Here is a 13,191-nt window from a genome sequence, read left to right as displayed (position 1 = left end):
TTAGTTGTCTTCAAAGGGAAGCCTCATAATACAACATCACAGACATTAATCTATTTTTCTTGAATTTAGCTTCAAAGACCTGTTAAGGTTAAGCATTCTTGGAACTGGCAATAGCTTGCATCATGTAACGCAAGACAAGAAGCTGTGTGATCAACAGCACAGGACAAGTTGAAGAATGTGATCACATTTCTGCATTAGAATTTCAAAGCCAAATTAAAGCAAGATGCTGGGTCCCAAATAGTGCTTGTGAAGGCCAAGACAACAGTTCAACAGAACAGACAGTACAAGCAAACACGTATTTTATTGCTCTATGCTGTTCCTGAAAACAGCCAGTTTGCATTTTGACTGGCAACAACTGGATGTTACCGTATGGATGGCTATTGGGAGTTCATTAAATATTCATCTTTAAAGATTTATGGAAGTTGTCACTTTAAGGGATCATTACAAACTTCCTGGCAAGATTATTGAACCAGGGAGTTGGCTGAAAATTATAAAGAAGAATAAAACCAAGGACTTAAACAAAACCCAAGAACTGAAGCTCATCAAGTTACATATGAGGAAATAATGGTTGAAAGTTTGCTTCTCAAAGAAGAGCTGCATTCTACTGATGATTTCACAATACTAGGATACTGGAGATCCTGTGTGGTAAGGATCTCCAACAGCTTAGAAACCGATGTTTTAAAAACTTACACTATTTAGAGGGTGTAAGTCCTTCAGCAAAGAAAAGAAGGAACCAAATAAAGGGGAGAAAAAGGCTAGATCCCAAAAAAGACACTCCAATTTTGATTAGATCCTCTTCTCTGCCAGTGGAGTTGCTATGGAGACAGTCTTCTCCTTGGCTATCATTTCAATCATGAAGCTTCTTAGGAAACACAGGTTTGGGGACAGTATTTAAAGGAGTGTGTATGGAGGGTGTGTTTGTTCTTTCACAAATATGATTACTTTCAAATTGTAAAACCGACACATTTATAATTCTAAGTTGTCACCAGCTTACCTGAAGCAGCTTCCTGATGCATTCATGGTGGCTGTTCTTGGCTGCGAGATGTAAGGCGCTGTGTCCTAAATGGATTTTTTCAAATAATAATTTTTTTTAAAAAGGCCACACTTTAAAAAAAATCTCTTTCTTATATATGAGAAGACAGCTATAAGGAAATAGGTTGTTATCCAAAAAAGACGGAACTGTGTTTTTTTGTTTGTTTGTTTTTTTGTTTTTTGAGACAGGGTCTCACTCTGTCACCCAGGCTGGAATGCAGTGACGCGATCATGGCTCTCTGCAGCCTCAACCTCCCAGGCTAAAGTGATCCTCCCACCTCAGCCTCCCAAGTTGCTGGGAGTATAGCCTCCCAAATAGCATGACACCACACCTGGGTAATTTTTGTATTTTTTGTAGAGATGAGATTTCGCCACGTTGCGCAAGCTGATCTCGAACTCCTGAGCTCAAGCAGTCCTCCTGCCTTGGCCTCCCAAAGTGCTGGGATTACAGGCATGAGCTACTGTGCCTGGGCTGGAACTGTTATTCTTGCGAGTGGGAAGAATCGAGCATCCCCCATGCCCTATCCCACCTACTGGATGACATTCACAGGTTCCAACTGCTGTTGTCTTGGGGTGAAAAGCAGCTCCAGGCTAGACACTTGCGGTGGATTCATGATAATGCAGCTCAGCAGCTCTGCTTTCAGCTGTCAATATGTTTGCCAAACATCCTGTGTCTATAAGAGCCATGCCAGGCTATGCCCACCACAGGCTGAGGAATCCAGTGAAGGCAACCCACAAGCCAGCAGAATACATCAAAGATCCACACACTTCAGCCCCTACTCTTGACATCTCATTTCCCTCTCCTCTCAATGTACTCCAGCCCTGAATGGAAATTACCTGGAGTTTTCTGATTTTCAAAGTTCTTATACAGAAGGGAGAGAGTTGTAAAATTCTCAATGAGGCCTTTCCTGACTTTCTCGTTTCAAATTCCAATTTCTCCCTAATTCTTTTACCCCCACTCCCTGCTTTATTTCTTTATCCTTCATAGCACTTAGCAGCTTCTATCACTCCCTTTTACCTCTTTCTCTATACAGACACACACTTATATAGTTAATTATTTTTCCCCCATGAGAATATAAGCTTGGTGAGGACAGACACCCCTGTTGATTCCCTGCTGTATCTCTAGTATTGACAACTCTGCTGCTGCACAGTAGGCTCTCAATACATTTCTGTCCATCTGAATTAGAGGGTATGCTAATTTCAAATGTCTGGATGGGGGGACCTGGGGAGAGGGTCAGAGCAGAGGACCTGACCACTACCAGACACCCCACCACACCTAGTAAACTCTTAATCCTGGATTTCCCAAGCTATTTGACATAATATAACACCTGTAGATAACTCCCATACTTTAGGACATGTTTAAAGCACTTTCTCCCATCCAAGTACTAACCAGGCCCGACCCTGCTTAGCTTCCGAGATCAGACGAGATCGGGCGTGTTCAGGGTGGTATGGCCGTAGATGCACTTTCTCAACCTTAGCATCATTGACCTTATAAGCTGGATAATTGCTGTGGATGGTTGTCCTATGCAGTACAGGACGTTAGGCAGCATCGCTGGCCTCTATCCACTAGAGGTCCAAATGTGACAATCAAACATGTCTCTAGACATTGCCAAATGTCCCCTGGGGGGCAATATCAAGCCCAGTTCATCAGAACCACTGACTTCGAGGAACAATTTCTTTTCTTTTTTTTTTCTGAGCCCAGGCTGGAATGGAGTAGCACAAGCATGGCTCACTGTAGCCAAGATCTCCTGATGTCAAGTGATCCTCCCACCTCAGACTCCCTAGTAGCTGGGACCACAGGTGTATGCCACCACACTTGGCTAAATTTTGGTAGAGCTGGGGGTCTTGCTATGTTGCCCAGGCTAGTCTCAAACTCCTGTCCTCAAGCAATCCTCCTGCCTCGGCCTCACAAAGTGCAGGGATTACAGGCGTGAGCCACCATTCCTGGCCAACAACTTCTTTATATGATGGTGGCCCAGGCCCCAAATACCTTTTTTTTTTTAGAAAGTCTTATCTGTCATTCAGGCCGGAGTGCAGTGGCACCATCTCGGCTCACTGCAACCTCTGCCTCCCGGGTTCAAGCGATTCTCCTGCCTCAGCCTCCCAAGTAGCTGGGATTACAGGTGCGTGCCACCAGGCCTGGCTAATTTTTGTATTTTAGTAGAGATGGGGTTTCACCATGTTGGCCAGGCTGGTCTCGAACTCCTGATCTCAGGTGATCCACCCACCTTGGCCTCCCAAAGTGTGGATTACAGGCATGAGCCACTGCGCCCGGCCCCATTTTTCTTTCTAAATCAGTCTTCAGTCTGTAACACTGACCAGAAATTCACTAATTAGAGAATCATATAGCTAGGAAACACTGTATTTAAAAACTAGTGGGCCATAGGGCTATGGTGAATGGCATAAAAATGTGTAAAGTCAAATGATCCGATTCCTTCTATTTTGAATTCAGCTGTACGGAGAGATTTTTAGGGTAGGTGTGGGGGAGAGTTGTTTCATCAGCATAGGATACTGAGAGACAGGAATCCCTCTGTCCCCTCCCAAAAGGAGGAGGATGAACAAAATTTAAAAATGAAGGAAGAGAGATTCTTGGAAGTAAGAAGACAAAGATTTTCTCTTCCTCCTCCTCCTGTTATATTATATGAGATCCCTCCTTCCAGAGTGTATGAAGCATAACTGTGTATGAGTTTAGTTACATGATGCATTAAATAGGCTTTGGTGGAGTAGCTTGGCCCTCCAACCATCACTTATACCACTGTTTCTGTGGACAAGCACATTCTGAGTTTTAAACAAATGCCTTACAAATGAAGGTTTGGAACACATCCTGATTGTAAGATGGAGACCGTTTATGTCGTGTACGCAATGCATTAACTTGTCCCTGCTGTGAACAAAAGCTGTTCTGCATAAGCAACACCCACTGGAAAAAGACCTGGTTCTCCAAAGACAAGATGGTTGGGAGATGTAAACAACTTACTATAAAATAACAGGTTTTCTTTTTACTTTGAGTAAGTGTTCTAGTCATACCTGGAAGTGCCGGGTTTCTATAGAAGCAAAAATTCTTTTATTCCCCAGCCCTGTGATGTTTTTCTAACGAGCAGCAGAAAAGTATTTTTCACTAAAAATAGTCTCAAAATCCGAATGACGCATCATTCCCTGAACACTATAACACTGAAGTAAGATGTCTCTCATTGCTACTATTAACACCAAATTCTCTCTCCAAATGCAAAATTTTCTGGACGAAATACTATTTTAGTGACAGAATCCAACTATGATGAGACAATGCATCTCTGACTCCCATATAGCTGTGGATCTGTCTAGAGTATCAGGAAGCAATTTCCCTGTGGGCAAATAACAAGGGCAATCCTAAGTGCCTTCCAGCAGAATTCCACCTGCAAATAAAAGACTAGTGATATTTATAAATTAAGAGTCTTGGACTATTACAAGTAGTCTAAGAACCCTTTTACTTAAAGGCTATCTAAGTAGAATGGCCCAACTGCTCTGGCCACAGGGCACCTTTCCCTAAAACTACCTCAGACTATGACCATGTATTCAATTCTTAAGATAGCTAGAAAAAACAGGGAAGAATTAAGTAGTATCAATCTAAAATGACATGACAGTTGATATTGCACTATAATCACATCCAAGGCCTTATCTTCTGACAGGGTTTTGCTCTTAAAATTGCTTGTAAAGCATCCATAAAAATTCTCAGACTTCCAAGTATTTCATCTGCAAAAATAGCTTTAAAAAATGCTGGCCGGGCGTGGTGGCTCACGCCTGTAATCCCAGCTCTTTGGGAGGCCGAGGCAGGCGGATCACGAGGTCAGGAGATCAAGACCAGCCTGGCTAACACGGTGAAACCCCGTCCCTACTAAAAATACAAAAAATTAGCCAGGCGTGGTGGCGGGCGCCTGTAGTCCTAGCTACTCAGGAGGCTGAGGCAGCAGAATGGCGTGAACCCGGGAGGCGGAGCTTGCAGTGAGCCGAGATCGTGCCACTGCACTTCAGCCTGGGAGACAGTGAGACTCCGTGTCAAAAAAAAAAAAAAAAAAAAAATGCTAACAGATTCTTGCTTCTATAACTTAAATTCAGTCAAAAGTTTAAAAAGTAGGAAATTATACCAATTTGACCATCCTGAAGACATTAATCATGGATAAAAAGAATAAAAAGAGCCAGTGTAATAGATTTTGAAAGGTGGTTTTGTGTGTGTGTGTGTGTGTGTGTGTGTGTGTGTGTGTGTGTGTGTGTCTGTGTGTGTGTTTTGTTTTTTTCAAAAATTCTACAGGGCAGGATTTATGGTAACAGATCTTTGTACCAGTTCTCACTGGATCTTCAGATTGAAGGTGACTGCATCTCAGTAATAAAGTGGCAAAACTTAAGGTAGGTTCCACATGGAAAGACAATACCTGTAAAAGCTAAGCCATTTAATTCATCCCCTAACCACCACAACAAACGTTTAGGACTAGTGATGACCACTAAGCACTGTTACTAACGTAACCTCATCCTTCCCTTGTATTCAGATATGCTTTCTTGAGAGGGAGAGTGAATAGGTGGGTATTATAGCCAACAGGTAAGACACAGGCATGGGCAATCAAAGCCATTACAATTTAACCTGTTTATTGGGACAGAAAAAAATGAGAAGTGTTTTTCTAGATGCACTTTTTTCCATGCAGTGTTCTTCTTTTGTTCCCGTGTTCTCTTTGCATGCTTTCAAGAAATCATGGGAAGAAGCTGGTACCTCCTTCAGGCCAAAATAAAACGATGAAGCCCAAGGAGGGAAGTGCTGGAATCATGGCTAAAAATATCAGGTGAGAAGGAAGTGACGGGAGCTCTGAGACATCTTCAACCCATGGAATGTTTGGACAATGTCCTGTGGCCCCAAAGTGCTGTGGATTCCACCAATTTCAATTGGTTCCCACTGGCGAATCCTGGGAAATATCCAGGCTGTGTCCACAGCACTCCCTCCAGTGTTGCTTCTTAGAGAGTGGTACCATCTCAGTCTGCAGGAAGTGGGCACTGCCTTGGGGCATCCAGGTCTTCCTGCTCAGCACTGCACCAGCCTCTCAGGAACTGGGTTAGGGCTCTGGTGGTAAATATGAGCTCTACCCACAGGGTGTTATGAGGCCACCAAGAACTATGCTTCTTAAGAGCCTTTAATGGGGGAAATGAAACTGGCGGGATATTTAATAAATTAAAATGCAGGATATAGAATTTATTATATAATGTGATCTCAGGCATGTAAAAATGTATTGGGACAATCTGGAAGGAAATACAACAAAATAGAAATATTTTTTTTCTTTCTGATAGGAGTAGGAACTTGAGTTATCTTCTTCTTTATAGTTTACTATATTTCTCAACTTTTCTACAATAAGCATGTATTAAAAAAAAAAAAAAACTTATTCTGGCCGGGCTTGGTGGCTCACGCCTGTAATTCCAGCACTTTGGGATGCCAAGGCGGGTGGATCACCTGAGGTCAGGAGTTCAAGACCAGCCTGGCCAAGATGGTGAAACCCCGCCTCTACTAAAAATACAAAAATTAGCCGGGCGTGGTGGTGGTGGGTGCCTGTAATCTGAGTTACTCAGGAGGCTGAGGCAGGAGAGTCACTTGAACCTGGGATGCGGAGGTTGCAGTGAGCAGAGATCGTGCCAGTGCACTCCAGCCTGGGCAACAGAGCAAGACTCCGTCTCAAAAACAAACAAACAAAAAAACACACACAAAAAACCAACTTATTTTTCCCTACAATAAAAAGACGTGAGGGAAGATTTTGGTTATGCTGAAAATAACTACAGTCCTGTCTAATCTATTTCTTAATATCAAGTACAATGAAACAAAACCGTGTGACGGCACCAGTTTATTCACTCTGAGCTAATGCTTTCAGATTATGGGTTTCTTAGAGGGAAACTTCTCCTACTTAAGAGGACATACATCTCATTAGGGGTATTTTAGCAAATCATACTGCACCATGTGGTTTTATGGCATAACTTTAAGAGCAATGACAATGAACTTTAAAAACAAACACAATAATTGGGTCTTGAGTTTAAAGATGACTTTAATTGGAAAAACATAAATTAGTATTTCCCTCAAGGCAGTCACTTAAGGAAACCATTTATCCCCCTATATTGGTGTTGCCATTTCTCAAAATATTTTTGGAACTTTCTGTGGAACTGCTCAGAAAAATCATTCTGTTATTTCAATCACTCCCTATTTTTGACCAAAAATGGTTTTACCAGTTTGAAACATCATTCACCTGACTTGACATCAAATTTTTTTAGGGCTCTTAGGTTTGCCCTAAAAAAAAACCCTATTCTCAAAGGATAAAGATTCCCAACCACTGAGATTCTTTTTTTTAAGTCCTCACACAATGAAAACAATTCTAAACCTGTTCCCAACCATATTTTGAGTAATAATAGCATTCCTGCAATACCTGGCTGATCCCTCAAGATGACTAGTCTGAAGAGGCCAATTTTGGGGATGGGAGAAAAGAAAGGGATCCATTACGGATTCACGAAAAGCCTAGATAAAGGCAATGGAGTTAGGCTAATTTTGTATCCCAGTAAACACTAATAGAAACCTATTAGAAGCCAAAAATTCTCGAGTACAATCGAAAAATGAAAAGCCATCAGTGGTTGCTTTGGTCTTTTGGGGTGGCCAGCAGGGGCAGAATCCCAGGCTGGAGACCCCAGGGGCTCCTTCTTATAGGACAGTGTTTTATACAAGGTAAGACTACGCTACCTTTTCTCTCCATTTGCCTTGTTCATCTTTTGTCAACACTGGCTTCACATTAGAATCACCCAGCGAGCTTTAAAAAAATACCAGTTGACTGGCAACTTCCAGACAATGGAATCTGAATCTCAGAGGGTAAAGTGTAGGTATATATATTTGTGTGTGTGTGTATGTGTGTGTGTGTTTGTGTGTGTGTGTACTGTTTATTCTTCTCTTTTCCCTTCCTTCAAGTTCCCAGGTGAACTGGATGCCCTGAAGTACAGCAAGGGGTGAGAATCGTGGGCAGCTGGTCCAGATGAAGTTCAAGGCTTCCATCTACAGAGCCTATCTCAGTTGATGAAATGAGCTCCTGAGTAACTCACTCATCACCTCACACAATGATTCATAAAAACAAAAATTAGGGACTATTGCTTGGTCTGTACATATAATCTTAGAAAATAATATAAAAAATGAGGATAAGAAGCATACAGTCTCTAGTTGACTAACCACATGAAAGATGAAAACTCAGAAGTATGGCTATACAACAAAACCATGTCAGAGTCTTGCTATTGGAGGTGATTCTCTTTTCTTCTTTTGGACTCTAAATTTTATCTGTAGACTCTAATTTTTTTTTTTTTTTTGAGACAGAGTCTCGCTCTGTTGCCCAGGCTGGAGTGCAGTGGCACAATCTCGGCTCACTGCAACCTCCGCCTCCAGGATTCCAGTGATTCTCATGTCTCAGCCTCCTGAGTAGCTGGGATTACAGGTGCATGCCACCATGCCTGGCTAAATTTTTTTGTATTTTTAGTAGAGATGGGTTTTAACCATATTGGCCAGTCTGGCCTTGAACTCCTGGCCTCAAGTGATCCACACACCTCACCCTCGCAGAGTGCTGTAATTACAGGATGAGTTACCACACCTGGCCTTAAATTTTCCATAATGAATATGTATTACTTTTTGATACCTAATCTGGTGCTGGCCTGCTGACTTAAGAGACTAAAAACCACATACCGGTAGTATCTTGGGCTGTCACATCCACACCATGTGTAATCATGACCCTGAGGCATTCCACGTGTCCTTTTGCAGCAGCAAGATGGAAACTGGAAAGAGAAGTAAACACAATCTCCTTGAGATTTCTACTCTTTAATGTTCATCTCCAACAGAGTTTCCCCCCCGCCCCCCGCCATTTCATGTACACTTTCTCTTCCTTGAGCTCTACAAGCACCCACTGACTAGGCATTATTATCAATCTCACTTTAAAGAGGAGGAAACAGAAGCTCAGGATGGTCTGATAATTTCCTCGTTGACAGCTTTAGTTAAGGGATGGAGCAGGAGTTTGATCTTCCAACCCCAAAGACCAGGCTTGAAAAAAGTAAGATTCAGCCATATATTTGTCTCTTGATGAAACAAATCAGAAAGTCCCAACTAGGTTGAATTTCTAAGTAATATGTCTTTATCAATGTTTTCCTATTGTCTAGTGTTTTCACCACAGCTGTTTCACCATTTTAAAGTGATATGCTCTAAAAAGAAAATCTTGTCTAAGTCAAACAGTGGCCAAGGTTCTTGGACAACTCAATGCCCACTGTTGTGTTGTATCTGAGTAACAATAGTTGCATGCAATATTTGGTAAGTGCCTAATGTGGGTCAAGCATCTGACTACACACTTTTATGCATTGTTTTTCATTCCTATGACAGCTCTTTAAGGTGAGTTCTATTACTTTCTCCATTAGATGGCAAGTGTCTATACTCTGGTGCAAACAGCATTAGAGAAAGCCCACCATTAAGACTCCAGAACTCAGTGAAACTTGGGAGCACAAACCATGATCAGCATGTTTAGACTGGTCACTAGAAGAAGGGATAACATCCAAATGCCAATTCAATCATCCCTCCAGATCCCGGGATGAAGGGCACTTTTGCATGCAGAAAGAAGCAAAGCACAATTCCACTGGGTGGTCAGGCCCAGAGGCCAAGATGGCTGCAAAATTTGGGCAGGTTTCCCTTCTCTCAGTTGCCATCCTATAGAGAGGTTAATGAGCCTTCTAGTTCTTCTCCTGAGTCAGTCCTGTTTTAGGGATGTGCCCTCAGGATACCTCTCATGAAGTCCCTTGGTGTCTGTACCTCTGAATTAATGCCCAGATAATATTTTCTCGCTGGGAAGGATCTATCATTGAAATCCAGGGTAACATTCAACTGGAAAGTCCGATAGCTGATATTTAAACCCAAGTTGGTCTGATTCCAGACCTCTTAATAACCTGGCTGAGTGAGGGGGACATATCAACAAATAGGAATACTTCAGTACTAGTTGCAAATCAGCCATAACATAATTATCTGTGTGTTTTGGGAAGTCATTTTAACCTCTCTGTGCCTAAATTTCCTCCATTGTAAAGGCTGGGGATCAAGTCAAATAATTTCTAATGGTTCCCTTGGCTCTAACGTTTAATTATTTTAGCTTACCTGGCTCTACTCACGCAACTATTTCTGTATTTGTGCAGCAATCTATGTGTAATATCTATTTACAGTCAAAATTTATTTTATAAGTGATTTCACATTACAATAAAACTTTGCATACAATGATTTGGGAGTGTAGTGACTTTTTTTTGTTTTTGAATATTTTTTGAGATGGAGTCTTATTCTGTTGCCTAGGCTGGAGTGCAGTGGCATGATCTTGGCTCACTGCAACCTCCGCCTCTCAGGTTCAAGTGATTCTCCTGCCTCAGCCTACTGAATAGCTGGGATTACAGGCATGTGCCACCACACCCAGTTGATTTTTGTATTTTTAGTAGAGACGGGGTTTCACCATGTTACCCAGGCTGGTCTCAAACTCCTGACCTCATGTGATCCACACACCTCAGTCTCCCAAAGTGCTGCGATTACAGGCATGAGCCACCATGCCTGGCCATAGTGACTTGTTTAAATGGAATTCCTCATTCAATATAGCTTAACCAAACTATACTGGCAGTGCAATAATTCCTCCACTTCTCAACATTGTTGGAATAGCTTCATTTTACAATAAGTCCACCTTTAAGCAGTAAGTCTTTTATTAATCTTGGTGGAAGGTTTCTAAAAGTTTCCCAGCCTTAGTAATAGTGCATGTAACATAATTAATTGCTCTTGGGAATATGGAGTCTCCTCAATTATTGAATTGCATGTTTAGGGATACTAATTGAAATGCCCCTGGATTACTAAGCCCTAAAATTGATTAATATTTAGCTTCTTAATGTCTTTGTGTTTGTTTCTAAGCTGTTCACTATGCCATCTCCTATGACAAGAGGAAAACTAAATCAAAAGTATCTAAATAAGAGAGTAGCCATATCCCATTCTAAAAATAACCATACCAGGAAGTGTCTACTGCCCATGTGCATATACACACACCCAAATCAATCAATCAATCAATTATATTTATCTACATTTAACTTTTGATTGAAATATAACATGTAAAGAAAGCTACACATATAATTGTACAGCTTGCTAAATTTTTGCAACTGAAATATTTTGCCTTCATACTAATCAGGAAACAGAATGTGGTCAGAGACCCCAAAACCCTCCTGCTAGCACCCCAGAAGTTCTCCATATGCCCCTTTTAGTTACTAACCCCCTTCCCCATGTGATATTTTTATTTTTTTCTACTCTGAGGCTTCTTGGATTACCTCTGGATTACATAGTCTTTTATGGGTGGCTGGAACTGCAGACCATCTGACAGTGAAGCATTATTGTAGGCCACTCCTGTACATTGGTAAATGCAGTCTGATGAACGTGTTATGATATTCTACAAATGATTTGGGAAATGCAGAGTTTCAGGATCATCACTTGGAAGGCCCACGATCAATACAAGGCAGAAGTGAGGTGTTAGGAAGCTGCGCTCAATTTCCAGTCCCACAAAAGAATTTTCTTAGACATAGCTTTGTAAAAGAAAATCCCTGATATCAACCTAAATTTATATATTTGATGGCTGAAATACATTTTCAGGGATCCAGTTAGTTAAAGCTTCATTGCATACGCTTTAATAAATCGTGTGATAGCGAGAGATTTTATTTTGTCCTCCCTCTCCCATTGAGAGTTTAGATCAATAAGTGACTTTTTTTCTCTATTCTGGGGACTTTCCAACTATTATGCTGCAGAATGCTTGTGTCCTGCTGAGAAAACAGAATGACAGAATTTTCCAAATTCATTATTTTCTCTTCATGTATTTTACCTAAAGCTGCATCACTTACTGCTTTTACAGATAAAACAGACAAAGTACAAACAAATATAAATAACTAGAAACAGCTCATTCTATAAGGATAGATAGTCTTGGCTTTGATTTTACACTGCATGCATCTAATACCATATTTTTTGCTAGTAAAACCATTGCTAGTTCATGTGATTCAGTTAAACATTATTTCAAGGTGTTTCTGCAAGAAAATTCTAACATCCAGGTGTTTGTTGTGTTCTGATGTCACACAAAAGCTTCTGCTCTGCTTTCTAAAACACACAGGCATAGGAATGATCTTGAAAAGCAGGAAAGGGGCCAGGCACAGTGGCTTACGCCTGTAATCCCAGCACTTTGGGAGGCCGAGGTGGGCGGATCACGAGGTCAGGAGATCGAGACCATCCTGGCTAACACAGTGAAACCCCGTCTGTACTAAAAATACAAAAAAATTAGCCAGGTGTGGTGTCGGGCACCTGTAGTCCCATCTACTCGGGAGGCTGAGAGAGGAGAATGGTGTGAACCAGGGAGGCGGAGCTTGCAGTGAGCCAAGATTGCACCACTGCACTCCAGCCTGGGCGACAGAGAGAGACTCCGTCTCAAAAAAAAAAAAAAAAGAAAAAAGAAAAGAAAAGCAGGAAAGGGAAAAACTGATCATTTTAGCTAGAAGTGTATGATTCATTTCTCCAGACTCTCCAGATAAGGAGCTCCACTGTGTATCATCATTCCTCTCACTGGGTATGCGCTTCTGGGAAATGGAAGTAAAGCCAGGAAACACAGTCTGTGAGTCTGCTCTTGAGGAGATAGTCACTAGCGCTGTGCATTCTCTCTGCCCCTCCAGGTCTGCCCTCTACCCAGAGGCAGTCCCCTAATGAACTGCATCCAATGGGCTGCCCTGTGCTTTGGCTCCTGGTTGGGCTTGCCCAGTGAGAATGACGATGGGGTTCAGGGCATCATCTCCTCCCCTCCTTCCCTAGCCATACCTCGGCAGTGGCTGTCTTCCTCTGTGAAGGCCACAGCTTTGCAGGCCGGCTCTCCCACAGCCACAGCTGCAGCTTTCCCTCCTTGCCCCTTTAGGTCAAGAGTAGAAATAGATTCTCACTCTTGTTAGAATCCTGGGCGGCATTCCCAACCTTACTGGTTTCCCCTAATCTGGCCACATATTTGTAAATAGTTCCTTTCTTAAGCTCTCATCAATTATCCTATTTGATGCTACCTGTTCCTGCTAGGACCCTGAATGACAGCAGGGTTGGGTATTTTGTGTGTGATGATC

At 42.0% G+C, this 13,191-nt stretch overlaps 1 protein-coding gene across 22 annotated transcripts in view; it reads right to left on the bottom strand.

Moving 5' to 3' along the window:
* Window positions 1-13,191, bottom strand: part of RAI14 (retinoic acid induced 14) — a 176,285-nt gene that overhangs the window by 27,842 nt on the left and 135,252 nt on the right. For all 22 annotated transcript variants that reach the window (NM_015577.3, NM_001145522.2, XM_047417088.1 and 19 more), the window contains 2 exons: window positions 8,744-8,832; window positions 995-1,059 (listed from right to left, as the gene is read on the bottom strand). In NM_015577.3, the coding sequence (NP_056392.2) occupies window positions 995-1,059; window positions 8,744-8,832 (154 nt within the window). The remainder of the gene's footprint in view (window positions 1-994; window positions 1,060-8,743; window positions 8,833-13,191) is intronic.

The sequence above is a fragment of the Homo sapiens genome, chromosome 5 (genome assembly GCF_000001405.40).
Source record: "Homo sapiens chromosome 5, GRCh38.p14 Primary Assembly".
NCBI classification, from domain to species: Eukaryota; Metazoa; Chordata; class Mammalia; order Primates; family Hominidae; genus Homo; species Homo sapiens.
Note: the sequence above shows the minus strand (reverse complement) of the source record. Positions and strands in the feature narration are given on the sequence as shown.